This window comes from Homo sapiens, chromosome 5 (genome assembly GCF_000001405.40).
Source record: "Homo sapiens chromosome 5, GRCh38.p14 Primary Assembly".
NCBI classification, from domain to species: Eukaryota; Metazoa; Chordata; class Mammalia; order Primates; family Hominidae; genus Homo; species Homo sapiens.
In genome coordinates this window covers 25,312,856-25,331,314 of record NC_000005.10, presented here as the reverse complement: position 1 = coordinate 25,331,314, position 18,459 = coordinate 25,312,856, and the positions used below count along the sequence as shown (strand labels likewise).

The following is an 18,459-nucleotide window of genomic DNA, read 5'->3' as shown; positions in this document are numbered from 1 at the left end:
GGAGACCCTGGGGTGGGCAGCTCCTCTCTGCAGTTGATTGTCCCATCTCCTTGAGTCTGGCTGAGTCCTGGGCTTTTATGAGTCTCAGTGGGGAGGAAGTGTTCACCAGTTGGTCCATGGGCAGCCATGGGCAGGCCAAGAAAGGCACCATGAGTCCCCATTCCAGGCCACAGGACTGGCAACCTGGTCTCCATGCATCAGGCCCTCCCTGACTTGAAGGTGGGGCTTTTCCGGGGTCCCACCCCCTTCCACCCAGGTGCCTATCTGCCTCCTGCTGATGTTCATGATGCCCAGGCTGTTAATACCAAGGGTCACCTGCAGGCCAGCACCAGGCTGTCCTCGGCCCCCCAATCTGTCTCCCTCCTGTTCCTATCAATGCCTAAAGTCCAGAGGCACTGAGGCAGCAGGAGCCTGGCATGTCAGTTATGCCCTGGGTGTGCTCATACCCAGTCAGGTTGCAACAGTGCCTGGGTTTTTCTCCAACTTTGTTCTGAGAATGGAGTGGGCATCAACAACAGGGAAAAGCCAGGCAGCTGGAGCAGGCACTTCTGAGTCCGTGGGGGCAGGAGGTGGCCTTCCCAGGCCCCTGAGAGTACAGAGATGCCTGGATCCACAACCACTCCCGGGTGGCTGCAGCTGCACCAGGGAGCTCCTTCCCCACCAACTTGGAAGGGGAGGGGTTCCTGCTTGTCCCTGGCAGCCACTGGCTCTGTGAAACTTGCAGCCCCAGATGTGCATCCTTGAAGCCTGCAGCAGGGACTCCAGGTCCTTGCTGGGCCTTGGCCAGTGTCCAGGGCAGGGGTGACTTCACCGTGAGTTTTTCCTGTGGCCCTGGCATTCAGGGGCTGCCTGGGGTTCTGCTTCACCTGGCTCATGGCCCTTCCTAGGGGACATCTCCAGGAATGGATCTTGGGCCCTGCCCTGACTGTTGGGAACATCAAGCTCGGTGGTCACGTGGATGCAGGGTGGGTCCTGGGTGTGCAACCTCGAGCAACCCCACACAGAGCCTTTCCCCGAGGTGCAGGAATGTGGCTCAGCTGGTGGGGTGGGTGCAGTGGCAGCATCACTGGCTGGGTCCTCAAAGCAGGCACCACTGCTACTTCCTGCCATGGGCCTCTGAAGCATGGGCCCAGATCTGCATCTTGGGCCCAGTCCCCATGCTGCATTTGCAAGCCCGGCTCTGCCCCAGGCCAGCTCCACTTTGGGGCCCCTCTCTGCCTACTCCTCCATGCCTGACCATCCTGCTCTTTTGCTGGCAGGCGGCTTGGCCTGGCACCATTGTAGCAGCTCTCAGGGGCAGGTTCCCAGGGTGGTGGGTTTCAGGGCGGCTCCCAGGGGCAGGATCCAGGAACTGCCTCCCTCAACATCTGTACCTGAGGACCCACAGCCTGTGCCTGTAACCCACTGCAGCTGGTGTCATGCCAGTGACCACTTCAGACCAGCTGCCACTGCCATCAAGCCCCTCTCTCAAGAGGTACATCTAACTGCCATTAGAATAAGGACAATTACAACTCTTAACTGCTTCATGCTGACAAAGGGCGTTGTTTTTGGGGAAAACAGCAGTCAGAGCTCCTCTCAGGGTACCCAGTAAAAAGGGAGTCATTGTCCGAGACTCCAGTTTTATGACTGCTTGGATTTTGATGGCCCATCCCTTTTGTTTCTTCTGAGCTGCAGTCAGGGGTCACTGGTTGGTTCACCTCACAATTGACAAAAGCTGTAAATGGCTCAAAAAAAAAAGGTTCTCTGACTCTGAAAAACAAAACAAAGGATCAGCAATGTTCCAAACAAAAAGTCAAAAGTCAAAAAAGATTACTTCTGTCTTCCACTAGTTCAGTCCACCCAGTCAATACTTTTTCACAATTTCCAAAGTTATCAGAAGCATGCAATGGAGTACTATAATCCATCTTTTGAGGAGGATCAAAACAAGACAACAATTTTCTGTGAATGTCAAAATGTCCTAGAGTAGTTATAGTCAAAAACACTACTGACAAAGAAATTTGGTCACCTCTGCCGTCAAAATCACTGGGGCATCTTCAGGAGTCCAGTGAAATAATCTACAGATGGACATATTTGAAATTCATTGTGGCAAATCTCCTTGTCCCTTATTCTCCTTACCACCCAAAACAAACAAAAAGAATACATAATAGAAAATAGAAAACAGCGGGTTATTCATTGTATAATCTGAGGGGGGAAAGTTTGCACCACTCACGCAAGAAAGAAACATGAAATACGTTGTAGGTGATTTCATTTTCATATTTTATGCTTATATTATCTTTGAAATTGGGGTATTTTTTCAAAACCAATTATATATTTTAGGAAAATGGATATACATTGAGTAACATGTGAATTGAAAAAAGCTGTATTGTAGAGGCATTTGTGTGTGGCCAGTCTCAAGGCAACACATGAGTCTGAATATGATTCTATGATATCTGCAAGAACGGACATGGCTTCAAATGTAACACACACCAATTCCAGAAATCTGTTACAGAAACAGTTAATTATATGTGTGATTTATTTAAGAAATTTAATGATGTAAAGAAATTAAAAAGTACTCTACACTTATCACAGTGAGTACATGGGATTCGACATAATTTTTTGATCAGGCATCTGAAACCAAAGCTTTTCTTTTAAACCTCCAAACGCACTGACTCTGCCCCTTTGAATTTGTAAGCCTGCCACATGTAAATATCACTGAACTTCTCACAACATTTGACTCTTCTGAATTTAAAGGAAAGGGAAAAAAAGCTAAAAATGACTTTTACGGATGTATTTTACTTTTACCAAAAGTTTCCAGAGTTCCTTTATCTTTGCTCTGCTTTCTGTTTGTTAATTTATCTCATATAAACTTCATAAAGAATAATTTTTTACATTAGTTTCTATCTAACCCTAAATGCGACCCCCTATCCTGAGATTATGCTTTTTGTTTTTGCTACCCTAAACAGAGGATTCTTACCTAAACAGAGGAGTGACTCATAACTACATAGTATATGAAAAAGAAATAAATAAAAATATAGTCATTTGAACGTATAGGATAATACTATTGAAATGTTAAACTGTTTAACATTTTAAACAGTTTAAAAATTAAGACTGTTGAATGTTATAAAGAATGCCATAATAGAAACGGTATCTAAAATTTTGTATATGACATGAGAGAATGAAAGAGATACCAGCATATCTATTTTTTACTCTGGAGGGTCATGCTTTCCTCAATACAAGGTTGAAAATAGGAATCATTCACATTTCTAAAGCTATTTCCCACTGTTAAAAATCAATCAAAAGAATAAAATTTCTAACTCTGGTGAGACATCATGCCATTCATAACTATAATATTCTAAAGGAGAATCAAATCTGAGACTGTTTCTTTGAAATGGCTGGTAAAAGGTCACACATTGGTAGTAGAAGAAAGGTTTAAATTTTTTAAAGAATATATTATTTATTAATTATATTTATTTGTTCTAGAATTTTGTATTTCTAGATTGCCTATTTGAAGAACAAATCTATTAGAGCATGCTTAACACAAAACAAAAGTAGACAAAAACCGAATCATCTCTTGCACATCAGGAAAGGGCTGTAAGAACGTGTAGTCCCCAAATCAAAAGGGAGTTCACCTTAACGGAGTTAACAGGATCCCCAAAGGCCCGGATTTTCAAAAGCCATTTTATTTAAAACTGACAGAAAAAATTTCAAACAGATATATTTAAGTATTAAAAGATAAAATTATGACAAATTTAGTTACAGATTTAATTGGCTTTTATTCATGCTTCATGAATCAAGGTAGCCTCCATTCTACAAAAGAGAATGAGATTTCCCTCTGGGCAAAGGCAGAACAGTGGGTTTTGCAAAGTGGGAACAATGGGAAAAAAGTTGATTGATTAATATCAGGTCACTTCAGGTTATTTTTCTTGTAAGGATTGAAACAAAGGGGAACTTTCTCATTACGCTGACTCAGCTAGAGTAGAATCTCCTATTTTCAGGAAAAACTGTTTCTGTTTTAGAATCTATCTGCTTCCCTAATTTTTCAGTTAGATTACGTGACACTTAGCATGAGTGAATCCATTTTGGTTTGGTTTGGTCCACTGGAGCCCAGGCAGGCACACAGTTCAAAACAATGGGATCACATAATTTTGTTTAATACATTTTTTTTCAGAAAGATGATTTTTGATTTTATACTAGGAAACATGATTTTTATATACAGTGTATATTTTGATATATAGTAAATTATTTTCCCAGTAGAAAAATAGTAATAAAAAAACTAAAATAAAATATATATTTAGTACCTGTAGAATTAACGTAAGTACATATCCTTAACAATCACCAAATAGAAACCCTTTTGTTCTTTAATGTCACACTTTGAACTGACATGGATAATTGAAAAAGTTCATTCTTTCTAGAAATAATAATGTAGTTATTATGCATATTCTTACACCTTCCCTATAGTTAAAGTACATACAATTTATTTCCCTAAGTAGACTATAAATTTTCCAAGAATACAGAAACTACTACATATGTTACTACATCCATGACAGACTTGATCATCATCATCACTGTTAGGGATGGACAGGCTTTGGTGTGGTCCAAGTGAACACCAAAATCTCAGTGGCTTTCTGGTATAAAGGTTTATTTTCAGAGGCCAGTGTTGTTTCCAGTAGTAACTTAGGGCTCTGGACTCTTTGTGTTTTCGATAACATCGTCTTCATCATTTGCTTTCCCAGGTCCCACAACAGGGCAAGAATGACAGGAGGTGTGCACACAGATACATTTCAAGGCAGGCATGGTGGTGTCTGCCTTTAGCTCTGCTCACATCTCATTGGTCCAAATTCAACTAGAGTCCCCAAGTCGACAGCAAGGGAAGCTCGGCAACGTGGAGCAGCCCGTGAATGTTTGGAGAATCCTACTCATTTCGCCACAGTTATTCTAATCAATTAAATAGAAGATATGTGTTTGACCTTAACTAATGTCAGGCTCTGTTCCTGGTGTTACATCTATTAACCCACTAATCCCCACTTAACTCTATGACATAAAGACATTTACAACCTCATTTTTTTTTGGTGCAGAGATGGATAATTATATTACAAACCAATTGAAATCTTAAAACTTTGTAGCTTTACATAAGGAAAATATATTGGTTTTTTACATCATTGTGGGTTCCACCTGGTGCCAGAAAGTTTCTTCCCTACACAGTCATGCAGGCTCATTGCCATCTTCCATCCTGTAGACTTGGCCTTGCATATCCTCAGAGTTCTTTCCATTTTATTACATATTGATGGGGAAGAAGAACACAATTATGCATAGATAGATTTTTATGGGCCAGGCTTCGAAGTGTTTTAACTACTTATGTTTACCTTTCACTTGCAGGGACTATTTCCTGGATTGTTGTGAACGTATATGGGATGAGGAATATAAGTAGACTCTATACTCACGAACAAAAGGAAAAAATGGGTAGTGATGAGTTCCAGCAGTTGTCACACCCCACATTGTAGAGAAGAATCAAGAAAGAGAGAGCTTAAATAACAGCTTGCTTAAGTTCACACGGAAAAATGACAGAAAAAGAACTTGAACCCATGTAAATTAGCTTCATATTCTTTGTTCTTACCCACTTTGCTATACTCAATGCAAAATTTTCAATACATATTAACTAGTTGAACGACTGTAGAATAAATAGGTAATTTATTCCAAAATTTAGAACACAGATTTTTTTTTCTCAATAGACCATTACTGGGTGGTTGAATCTAGAGAAGATAATTTTACTCAGATGTTTGACGTAAAGCACTGTTTTTGGCAGTCACTCATTGGCATCTTAAGATCACTAGTAAAGTATAATCAAGGCACATTGTAATCTTTCATTACTGGGAAAATTTTTTGTAGATATTCAGTTTTATATCAATAAAGTATTTCCATTCCAGATTTGATGAGTAGCTGTGCAGCCTTGCATCTGTCCCTTCAGCTTCCTGATCTTCATCTTTATCTGTTCTAGCACATACCCTTCAGTATACAAACAGGCAAACTTAGGGTTAGCTCTTATTTTCTCTGATCAATTTTAAAAGTCCTTACAGAGCACAGAAACACACACAAAAAAATTCTAATTATTATTGAGAAAAAATAACAGATGGTGGATTATCAAACATTTCTGTCTTAGCTTTAGAGAAAACTATTGTAGGAAGGTATTCTCCTGGAGGAAACCTGGAGAAAATGTGGATAACTTTCACATGGGATAGGATATAATTTTTGAAACAGCTTTATTCATTTGCCTTAACTGGTAGTGAAAGTGCTATACTGCTAATGGTCGGTGAATCTTTAATTACAGATAAATGTTCATGTTAGTATCTGTCCTCAGGGCAAAAATGCAAACACATATACACCACTAGAGAAGCAAAGAAATGAATTTATGCTTTAATGAGCTGTGGAGTCTTATTATTCGCTTAATATAATATGACACTTTGACTCTGTACTGGAAACGAACTGGGAATATGAGGTTCAATTTGTACTCAGGGAAATTGTTTACTCCGAAACAATTTAGCCAATGATTAATCGTTATTTTCTTTCATATCTTGAAGACTTCCTTTCATTGATTTTTCTATCTTTAATTAGTTTAAAGTAATTATTTAAAAATTCAACATTAATTTTGCCTCTGTTCTGGAGAGAAATTATTCATGAAAAAAATCACATTAGAGTTGTCATTTCACTGTGACACTATGTATTTTGCTATCCAGCAAAATCAGATGTAAAATCAGATGTAATAATTGCCCCAGATGCTAATGACCTCTCCACCTAATGAAGTACTTTTCATTATGTCACATTGACTGATTTAACTGAGCATTTAATTCATAGTTTGTCACTCTGATGGTTGCTTAATGATTTATTTATAGCCAATCCTTACACGAAAGCTAGAAGGTAATGTCAATTTAAATGAGATATTGAAAATCAAATATTTCCAAATATTAAATCAAATACATTTAATAGACATTTTATTTTCATTGCCATCGTTTTCATGTTTATTATTGTCGCTTACGCTGCAAGTGTGATGCATGTAGAAAGAAAAACATAATAATGGCCAATGGACTTACGGTTTGACAAATGAAACTTACATTTATTACTATCATAAAATAGAAAATTAAATGTTATTTTAAGGGCCACAATTATTAAATAGCCAATCAAAATTTTATTTCTCTTACAAGGTAACATTTAACCTTTAAAGTTATAGTAGTAGTTCTATAATATGGATTATTCTATGGAACTGCAGAGAAAAGGAAACATTTTTCTTCTTCCTGAGATTTGCAACAGTTATATGGGCTTGCAGCTGCAAATCTAAGTAAAGTCCTGGAATCACAGTAGTTAGCACTGAGATAGAAAATCAGTTCCGGAAAGCTAAAAATTAACAATAAGGATGAGAGTGAATATGATAAAAAAGATAACGAGACATTTTATGTTTTATACATTGCAGAGGTATTATCATCTCCAGTTCTAAATCTAGGAGAATAAAGTATGTGGGTTTAAATATATTTATTCATTCAAAATGTATTTTATTGAGTTCTAGTTTTCAATAGAGACTGCTATGAAGTGAGAGTTATAGCTATGATAAAGTGTACTCATTCTAACCTTGGGTAGCAACATAAAATTAAAAACATCTCCCAAAATATTTACTTACTTTAAATTGTATGAAGTCCCCAAAAGAGAATTAGAAGGTGCTATGAGATATAAAACAAGAATTTGATCTTGCATGCATGTCAAGGAAAGCATTCATGAAGAACTGCAATTTTAAAAGTCACTTGAAAATGTGCATACTTGTTTAATTATGTATGCATAGGTAAATATGAGAAAGAAAGAGAGAGAGATAATGAGGGAGTAATAATTTGAGAATGTATAATACCATACTACTTTTTTGTCTGTATGGCAGAATGGAGAAAATGTCTTGGACCAGGGGAAAATACTTATTGTCTTTTCATACTGTAAATGTTTTGATTTAACTGTCTAGTTGAACAGCAGGAAAGGATTTATAGATAAAAACTTTATATTTGTGAAAGTACTGTATTGATGTTCATTCACAGAACAAATGAGTTAATCTGTAAAGTATTTTTTGGGCCAGGCATGGTGGTATCCCAGCACTTTGGGAGGCTGAAGTGGGAGGATAACTTGACGCCTGGAGTTCGAGACCAGCCTGAGCAACATAGGGAAACTCTGTCTCTACAAAAAGTAAAAACACAAAAGTAAAAAAATAGCCAGGTGCATGTCTGTCGTACCTGCAGAAGCCCTAGGAAAGCTGATGTGGGAGAACTGCTTGAGTTTTTGAGGTGGAGGCTGATGTGGACTGTTTGCACCACTTCATTCCACACTTGGCAATAGAGTAAGACCCTCTCTCAAAAAAATGTTTATCTACATAGATATGGATATAGATACAGATACATACATGTATATACACACTATATAGATATATATATCTACATATATAGTCTAGCTATCATCTATATAGTTTTTGAGATGCATAAAACAGAGTTTTAAATGCTGAAATCATCATATATGTATTTCTCATTTCATATCTACTCTGGTTTACAGTTTAGTGTTTTCATGCTACTTAAACCATCACACTTACTATTTCTACTTTATAATTACCTCAAATCTCTATTTCAGTTGCTGAATCTTTTCTTACATTTTTCTAAATTCAACTGCTGTCCCATTTCTTATTTGAAAGCCATTGAGTATTTTAACACATTGCATCTTTCATCTTTCACTATTTTTATTACTTTTACGTTTGATAAATTTTTGTCAATACCATTACCTCCAACTACACTATTTTAACACATATACTTGACAAAACACTGATTATTTCCTTACACCTTGCTATTTGCAAGCTTATTATGCTCACTTATTCATGGTCACTTTGTCCATAATATATATATATATTTCAGTAGCCTAGGAAATTTTCTTGGTACAATGTAACCACTCAATAGCAATGAATAGATCTCAGAACTTAAATTCATAATTTTATTCATTGATAGAAGATAAATATTATAAATCACACAATATATGGTAACATTATTATTTTCTGGCATAGAGAAAGACACAGTATAAAAATGTTAGCAACTGAAGAGGCCATAACTTGTCATGATAATATAAGAAAATCATCAAATTTTCAAATGTTAAAGTTGAACATATAAGAAAAAGTATAGCCTTAAAAACATATTATTTTAACTAATTCTAAGTCTCTCTATCCCTCTTTTTATTTATGCTAAAATAATTTCCATTTTTCATCCTCTGTCTTCTTACATTCTTTAATTAATGCTCTAACCAAAAGATGGTAACTTTTATGGTTCAAGCAAATATATCCTGCTCTTTCTCTCCCCCAAACTACATTATTTTTGTCTTTATTTGTTAAATATATCTATAAGCCACACGTTATCATTTTTTAGTTTAAAATAAATTTGAAATATTCTTTCAATATTTTTCCTCATAAGCTTAAAGACTTTGTTTTCCAAGTGAAAATCCTGCTATTGGAAAATATCCAGATTGTCTTATATTTGCTGTTTATATTTTCAAGAAACAGCATTTTTAAGATAATTTATAAGCAAATATTATTTATTTATAAATACATTACAACTATAAATATTTTATATTATAAAATAAATATATTAAAATATTATAGACTGTTTTAACACATCACAGTATATTTTTATATTTGTCAAATTGTATTCCTTCACATATGTGTGGATACCTCTTGCCAATTATTTGTTCAAGTATTTGAATATTCTTTAAATTCTATAGTAATTATTGTAAGGGTTGGGTTTGATTTTTGTATATTAGTAATGAATGTTGAAATGATCAAATGTTTTTAAATAATTTATTCTCTCTTCTTAATACTTACATATTTGGCGAGATATGTCATTAATATACTATTTTGATTTTAGAAAATTAGAATTTGTAGTTATTTTTTCCCATGTGGGTCACTTTAAATGACAAAACATACGTAACTCTTGAACATTTGAAATGCTTTAATAAATAAAACTCATATTTGTATAATTTACAAAAGACACATTTAACACTGTGATCATATTTTTAAGTCATTAATAATTATTTTATATACATTTATTAACTCAAAAATGTACATTTTCCTAAAAGTTTTACCCATTTAATTCTGTTTTTCGAATCTACACACAGTTGTATATATCTATGTGAGATCTAATTCTGAAGTCCTTGCATAGTTAAGAAACATTATTCAATGCCTTCTAGTCTTTATGACTTTAGAGGACACTTCAGATTCTGATATTCCTGGTCCTTCTTCCTGTAACAGTCAGGCAGGGAATCACCCATAAGTAAATGTGTATTGAGTCACTGTGTATGACAGTCCTGTTCTAGGCACTGAAGACACGGAGGTAAAGCAAGGGACAGTAGATTTACATTTTATTTGAAATTATAAGATTATAATAAAAACAAGTGAATAATAAAGATAATTTCATGCACTGATGGTAATTAAAAAATGATAAAATAATCATATGTGATTGGCAAAATAACTTCTAGCAAGTGGAAAGGAAACAGCTTCTACACGAGGTAATCTTTATTTGTGAATAAATGACAAAAACGAGGAATTCATGCATAAATCAGGAAGACGAGCTTCTAAAAGAAGAAATGTGCAAAAGCTTTACGATCAATGTGAAGAAAAGAGACTGAGAGATAAAGGTGACAACTTTAGCAGGAGATTACATTGAAAGGTGGCTTTGTCAAAATTACACACTATTCCAAGAAATCTGCCACCAATCCATTTTCTGATTTAGACATCTGACCCTATATGATCAACTTCCAAATCAATTTTGGACTTCTTCTATATTTCTCCTATCTATCTGCTTTTTTTGTGCTTTATTTTTACAAAATATTCCATTCAAATACCATTTCAATAATACGTTAAAAAATATTTCTTCAATGCACCTAAGACTTTGAAGACCACCTAATAATGCTTGAAGTAGACGAAGCTGATCTCCCTGAATGTCTTCTCAGATTTTTGGTAAGAACGTTTATATAGCCATCCAGTGATAAAGGGGAGGTTTTCCAGATTCCTCTTTGTGTGCATCCTTTACTTTCTGATTTGAGGAGATACTGCTCCATAAATTCTGAGATCTTCTGATCCTTTAGGGAAATCAGAGCATGATTTTTGAGATCCCACCTCTTGTCTTCTTAGATATCTGTGAGTTCCATACACCATTTCTGGTCTGATAATATTTATGATATCTAAAACTTATCTAATAACTTTTTGAAGAGCACATACATCCAGGTTTCAAATATAGTTTATACAGATTCCTTTATATATGTTGAGATTGGACTTTAAGTTTTTACTTACTGGTTAAATTTACCCAGACTCTCCTATAAAAGTTTAATTTTTCTATCAATTAAATCTCTTTCTTAAGCCAGCTTAACTATTCGCTCTTTTCATATTTATTTACCCACATGTTCTGACTGTAAGGCTAACAAGTTTTATTTTTACTTTTAATTCTTTCAACAGTTCTATTTTTCTTTATTTTCCTGAAGAAACTTAGTTTTAAGAAAAACAGTATTAATGATGAGCTTCTTTATACTTGAAATAATTTTATAGATGTTGTTGTTTCTCTACTTGATTGCAACATTATAATGCTGTTTCTGCTTTCTAATATACGTTTTGTCTTAATAAAATATACCACCTTCCAAAGGAAAATCTACAGTTTAGATTTTCAAATTTTGAGTCCTTCCCATAAATTAAACATTTAGCTACAAATGGTAGTAATGGGTAGGGGTGGGAGTTTAAACTTGGATCACCTGATCAAGTACTGTCAACTTAGGTCTTATTCTAAATATTTAACGACATATTCTCACTTGTCATGCGTAGAAAACAAAAATCTTTGCAATTTAAAGGCCAAGACTCATATAAACATTGCTAAGAAATATAGTAAAAACAGCAAATAACATTCTAATGTAATATCTAAAATGCCTGTATAAAGAAAGGATGATAAAATAAGGCAGAATTTACATCTGCTAAAGCTAGAGAAGCCCATATGTGTTTCCAAAGCTCTGCAGTAGAAGCTCTGCCTGTGTGTAAGGAGTTCCTCTCCTACATTAAAATTACCCACCTCTCGCCTGAGGACAAACTACTGCACATTGGACAGATCTGCGTCAAAAACTTTTAAAGCCCATATGGTGGGAATTAAGACTTAACACGTGACCCTGTTAAATAACAGTGAAGTTAATTTGATCACTAATTTTAAACCTCTGTTTCTCAAGATTCCTGATCTCAGAGCCCAGATAGTTATGAACGGCAAGGATATAGCATAACACTTCCCTGTCTCTGTTCAAGTTTTGGAACAGCTGAGTGCTAGATAGAGACAGAACACAGATTAAGATCAAAATGGTATCCTTTAGTCTGATTAAAAATATGTTGGAATACATGGCTTGGGAGTGAGGACAAAATGAGCCATGTTGACATTACTTCTTCCCATTCCTAACTTTCACAAGCAGCTATTACTTCTACATCCTACATAGCTGACCCAGTCCTTCAGGGTTTACTTATGTCTTTAAATCTGTCCAGTGTTTCTTTTAAGAAAAATTTTATTTTATCTAACTTAAGTAGGACAAATTAATTATCTGTGTTCTATCCTAAATACTTATTATTTCTCTTTAATTTTTTAAATTTTCTCTTCTGAATACAAAGTCCTTTTTTGAAATTTATTTTATAGACTCATTCAGCCTTTTAATTCATCCAATGTCATTTTTTCTGTTTTTATTTATAGTAGCCTCATTTGTAATTTTTCTTCTATTCTTATAGCTCCATGTATAACATACTCAATTACAATTTCTTCTTTATTGTCATCATACTTTGTATTTCATCAAGGATCAATAGCATTTATTGACTATAATATTTTATAATTTCTTGAAATATTTTATTAAAATATACTTTTATTTCTGTTAAAACCACTTATTAACTTCCATTTTTGTATATTGGAATTTTTATATATGCTTTTTTTGTTATTTTTTCTTGTTTCTTCATCTTTGTTTGTGGAGTCATAGCTACTTAGTTTTTTTGTTTTCACCAAATTGTGTAGGAGGTATCTCTTTAAACATATCAATGAACATCAATTTAAGGGCCAGATGATATTAATTTTGAGTGCCGTTCAGTTGTTCAGCAATCTAAGGGAGCTAGTGAAGAAGCTGACTTGTGCGTAGTCAAAGGTAAAATAAACTTTCTGTTTCTGGACAGTGACCTGCCTCAACTCTCATTTATTTATCCAACCAACAAAACCTTGTCAAACTATGAATTCTTCCAGGATATCTTCTATGTGCTGTGAAAAATCAATTGAAACAAACAAACAAACAAAAAACAACACTTACATTCTATTGAGAAGACGTACAGTAAATAAAAAGATAAAACATACTGAATGTTGGGGTAAGTGATGAGGAGCAAATGAAGCAGAAAGAGTACGTGGTTCTCATAGATGTTACCTTCAAAGACAGTGACAACTAGGTTATCTATCTTACATGTGATGATGTTACCACCTTGCCATTAAAAGTAGTATCTAGGTGACATTCTCTTGAACCTTGGTGGACTTAAAACTGTTTTATTCAAAAGAATGCAGTTGAACTGACAATATGTGGCTTTGCAGGTAGGTTCACAATAAACACTTCACTTTGCTCATTAGTACACTAGCTTTTGGAGCTCTGTGCCCCCATCTAAAAATTCCAATTATCCTACAATTTCTATTTGGTGAGTAAGCCCAGGGCATGTGTAGATCATCTGATTGAAAATCCCTTCTGAGGATCCAGTTGAAAGCCAAATATGTGATTGAAGATATGGCCAGATAGTTTCGTCTTCTTGCCTTCAAGTCCCCACAGCCATAGATAAACTATTCTATTCTTGGTCTTTCCTAATTCTTGATCCAAGGAATTTGTGAGCTTAACAAAATGACAGTTTTATATTCCACCATGTTTTGGGATGGTCTATTACAATAGTAACTAGAAAGTGAGATTTTACATTTTAGACAGGATGACCAGGGAAGGGTGATATTTATGTAAAGTTTGAACTGCCTGTTAGACATTCAAGTGGAATTATCAGCAAAGAGGAGATTATTTGAATCTCAAGTTTAAGGAAATGTTTCAGATTCAAGGGAAGACTCTAGTGATCATCTGTTGGGAAATACGGCATAAAAGTGAAGCGTATTAAAAGATCTACTACTCTCAGTACTATTCCACATATTCAGAAAAGAAGTATGCTTTCCAACTTCTAGCATCTTCTTTCAATTTTATCCATGGAATGCTGTTGGACATTTCACAATTTTCAACATGTTCTACACATCTTAACAACGTGAATGATTTTTCATTGTACCTTTATTCTTACTATTTAAGTTTCAATGTCAGTTACGTCAGAAAAAAGAGTGAAATTATTATTATTACTTTATATTTTCCACTAAGTTGCATGTTTTCTGGGTTATAATTGTCTGTACTTAATGCATATCATTAGATATTTTCAAAGTCTGTCTTATTATAGCTTTTTAGGCTTTTCCTGTTGTAAGCTACACTGATTGTTATGTTAATTGGGTTCTCACTGCCAAGCTGTAAAAGTTCCCACCTAAGCTGTAAGGTTTTATGATGGGTCAATAGTCAATTATTTATGCTGGAATTTATAGTTAATTGTGAGGCCTTCACACACCACAATCATGCAATTAATATTCAGCACAGAAGCAGCAGTAAAAGAAGGCTAACAAACCACAGTATAGTTTAGAGGCAGTAGCAAAAGGAGGCTAACAAACCACAGTGATAGTAAAAGGAGGCTAACAAACCACAGCACGCCAACAGACTAGTCCAGTGGGTCCTGAAGTCCTTTGAATGCAGGTCAGTGAGTTGGTCACTGCTTCTCTCCTGCAGAGTCTTTGGTAACAGCTGCTGAGGTTGGAAAAATGCCTCAGAGTTCTTTTTTTTTTTGAGACGGAGTCTCGCTCTGTCGCCCAGGCTGGAGTGCAGTGGCGCGATCTCGGCTCACTGCAAGCTCCGCCTCCCGGGTTCACGCCATTCTCCTGCCTCAGCCTCCCGCGCAGCTGGGACTACAGGCGCCCGCCACCACGCCCGGCTAATTTTTTTGTGTTTTTTAGTAGAGACGGGGTTTCACTGTGTTAGCCAGGATGGTCTCGATCTCCTGACCTCGTGATCCGCCCGCCTCGGCCTCCCAAAGTGCTGGGATTACAGGCGTGAGCCACCGCGCGCGGCCTGCCTCAGAGTTCTTATGGGCAGAGTCTCCATAGGTATCTCAGACAAGGCCAGGATTTGGCTGTTTTTGTATCTTCTGCAGGTTGGTCTATGCACATTATCTCAGCCACTCTTCATTTTCTATGGTGTGTTTCAGGCCTCCTATGGTACCAGGAAAAAGTGGGTGTTATCACCTCAGTCCATTACACAAATGTTTTTCATTTTGAAGAAGGGGTGAAGAACTTCAGTGTGGGCTCACTGCTACTTGACATGAATGACTTTATTTTGATACAGGATCACAAACAATTATGATATATCACCTCCATACATTAGCATAATTGTATATATTCATATTTTCTATTTAGAACAAAATATCATTCTGAAGAAATAAAAATTGAGATAAATAACATATTATATATTTCTGTAACAGTATAATATGGAATGATTATGGATTATGATTATTCCATTTCATGGGTTACTTTATATCAACTACACTGTTTTTTTTTTTTTTTTTTTTTTTCCTAACTTGCCTATGTGAGAGCAGGGTCTTAGGCTGATCTAGGTTGAGTTTAGCTTATGTTGGATGGGTTTGTTCGAGTGTCAGTAGATGGCTGGTTTACTTATGCATCTGAAATTTGGTCAGGGCTCTGCTCTAGGTTGTGCTTGCCTAGGGCACCTCAGTTGATATTTCTCTGCTTCAGATGTTGTTCATCCTCCTCACAGCACCATAGGGCTACCCCAGACATGGTTTTGATGTGGAGATGTGAGCAGCTCAAAAGCTAGTGAGATCAACCTTGCAAAAACTTTTCAAGACACTGCTAGTGTCTGGTCATATTGGCCAAAGCCAATCACAAACCAAGCCTAGGGACGAAGAATGATACCTATCCACAGTGGGAGAGCGTTGAAAACTTAGAAGAAGTTATGGATAGATGGAGTGGTAAGGAATTGGGGCCATTAATGCAATCTAGACAAAGTCTGTAAACTATGCTAATTTAATCTTCTGAGTACTTCCTTCTTTTGTTCCAAGTCTCAAGCTGCTTTTGTTTCCCGATATTATATGAATATTGTTTCTTCCTATACTGCTTTTGTGATTACTGTGACTGCTTTTGTGACTATGACAAAATATATACAAGCCAAACTAATATTTTGATACTTTATATGTTCTCAATTAGCAATTCATCATCCAAAAAAGGAAACAAATTATTTTTTTATATATATATATAAATATAAACCCGGGAATTTTACCAATTTGGTTCAACAAATTGAATCATAAAAAAATTTCTAGGCCGGGCGCGGTGGCTCACGCCTGTAATCCCAGCACTTTGGGAGGCCGAGGCGGGCGGATCACGAGGTCAGGAGATCGAGACCATCCTGGCTAACAAGGTGAAACCCCGTCTCTACTAAAAATACAAAAAATTAGCCGGGCGTAGTGGCGGGCGCCTGTAGTCCCAGCTACTTGGGAGGCTGAGGCAGGAGAATGGCGTGAACCCGGGAGGCGGAGCTTGCAGTGAGCCGAGATCCCGCCACTGCACTCCAGCCTGGGCGACAGAGCGAGACTCCGTCTCAAAAAAAAAAAAAAAAAAAAAAAAAAAAAAAAAAAAAAAAAAAAAAAAAATTTCTAGGATTACCCATATTTAATGTTATTTATCGCATTTCTGATGACTAAACATTTGAATATGTTACTCTCTAATTAGCATACTAATATTAATATTTCTAGATAGATTTACATGGATGAATAATGTATTTTCTATTTTTTGTGGATTATATGTCATTTTAAATTGTTTTTTCCAACAATAACAAAATCTGATAAATTTAGTCTGCTTTCTACTATTTACTGGATGTCTCAGAGGCATAGTTTAGAGATACGTTGTGTGCAATAGACATATAAATGATTTGTTTACATTACTCCATATAAATGATTTGTTTGTTTAATGTCTTGGAAATTATTTTATGTCTTATGGTTGCTGATTCTGTTGTCATCAGATTACTACAATAAACAAGATCTGTATCTAATTTGATCTTCTTTTAACTTCCCTAAACCAAAGGCAGGTGCTATTATCTCCAATATTTTTTATGTTAATGGCATTTATAACAATTTCATAATAAAGTATAACATTTATAATATTTTAACTTTTCCTTATTAAAATTATTTTTTCAAAAATTATGAAATATTTTGAGTAAGAAAAACATAACACATTATAAGGAATACCCGTGCATAACCTACCAGGATGTAAGAAAACTTAGCATGTAGATACATTTGCATCAAACCTATTATTTTAAAAATCTAAAATATTATAAATGAATGGTTGCATTCTTTGATTTCTCAGTAATTCTTCAATGAGGCACTATCCAGGTGTTGGTTTTCAGACCATTGATTAATTTTGTAATATTTTTGCTATATACATATATGTTTACATATAAGATATAATGTTTTGCTACTTTACTGTACAGGAATAAAATCATCTGTACACACAATTTTTGTAGTTTAGTGGTTCTACTAACAATTTTGTGTTCAGGTTAATCTGTGTTTATATATGTAAAAGCAGTTTATTTTATAAATTGCTTGTTATTTAGTCCATTTTTTAAATTCACATGAGCCATGGTGTTTTCGCAGCATTTATCTAGATCTGGATTTGTTCAGTCTAATGAGACCTTTCAAATCTACTAGATGCAATAGTTATCTATCACTGTGTAATAATTGTTCCCAAAACATTCTACCACATTTTTTGTGGGTGAGGAATGCAGGCACGTCTAAGCTGGATACTCTCCCGGCTTTGTCTTTCTCAAGGCTGCAGTCATCTCAAGGTTTGACTGAGGGTGAATCTGCTTGCAAGATCACCTGATGCAGTCTTTTGTAGGATTCCATGGCTTACAGGATGTTGAACTAAGGGTCTCTTCTTCATTGGCTGTTGATTGAAGGCCAGTCTTAGTCCTTGCCAAAGGGCAGTTCACAAATGACAGTTGGCTTTGTCAAAGTGAAGAAGTGAAAGAGAAGGAAATAAAATAACTTTTGTAATCTAATCAGAAGTGATTTTCCATCACTTCTGCTCTATTCTTCTTATAAGAAGCAAGTGACTAAATCAGCCTATACTCAGGGAGAGAAGATTGTACAAAGACATGGATACCAAGGGGTGGGCGTCATTGGAAACTATTTCTGATGCTGCCTACTACACTGGCTATTTGCAAGCTGCTTTCAAAGCACCTGCTCCAAATTTGAACTTCACCAACATGATATTAAGTCACTATTCCTCCATTTCTTGCCAACACAAT

The 18,459-nt window shown here is 35.7% G+C and overlaps 2 annotated features.

The window, feature by feature from the left end:
* Positions 321-821: an enhancer, noted in NCBI's record as "H3K4me1 hESC enhancer chr5:25330603-25331103 (GRCh37/hg19 assembly coordinates)". NCBI's record gives its function as "activates a minimal SCP1, AML or CMV promoter by ChIP-STARR-seq in naive H9 embryonic stem cells {active_cell/tissue: H9 hESC(naive)}" and the evidence as "EXISTENCE:reporter gene assay evidence [ECO:0000049][PMID:30033119]".
* Positions 822-1,322: an enhancer, noted in NCBI's record as "H3K4me1 hESC enhancer chr5:25330102-25330602 (GRCh37/hg19 assembly coordinates)". NCBI's record gives its function as "activates a minimal SCP1, AML or CMV promoter by ChIP-STARR-seq in primed H9 embryonic stem cells {active_cell/tissue: H9 hESC(primed)}" and the evidence as "EXISTENCE:reporter gene assay evidence [ECO:0000049][PMID:30033119]".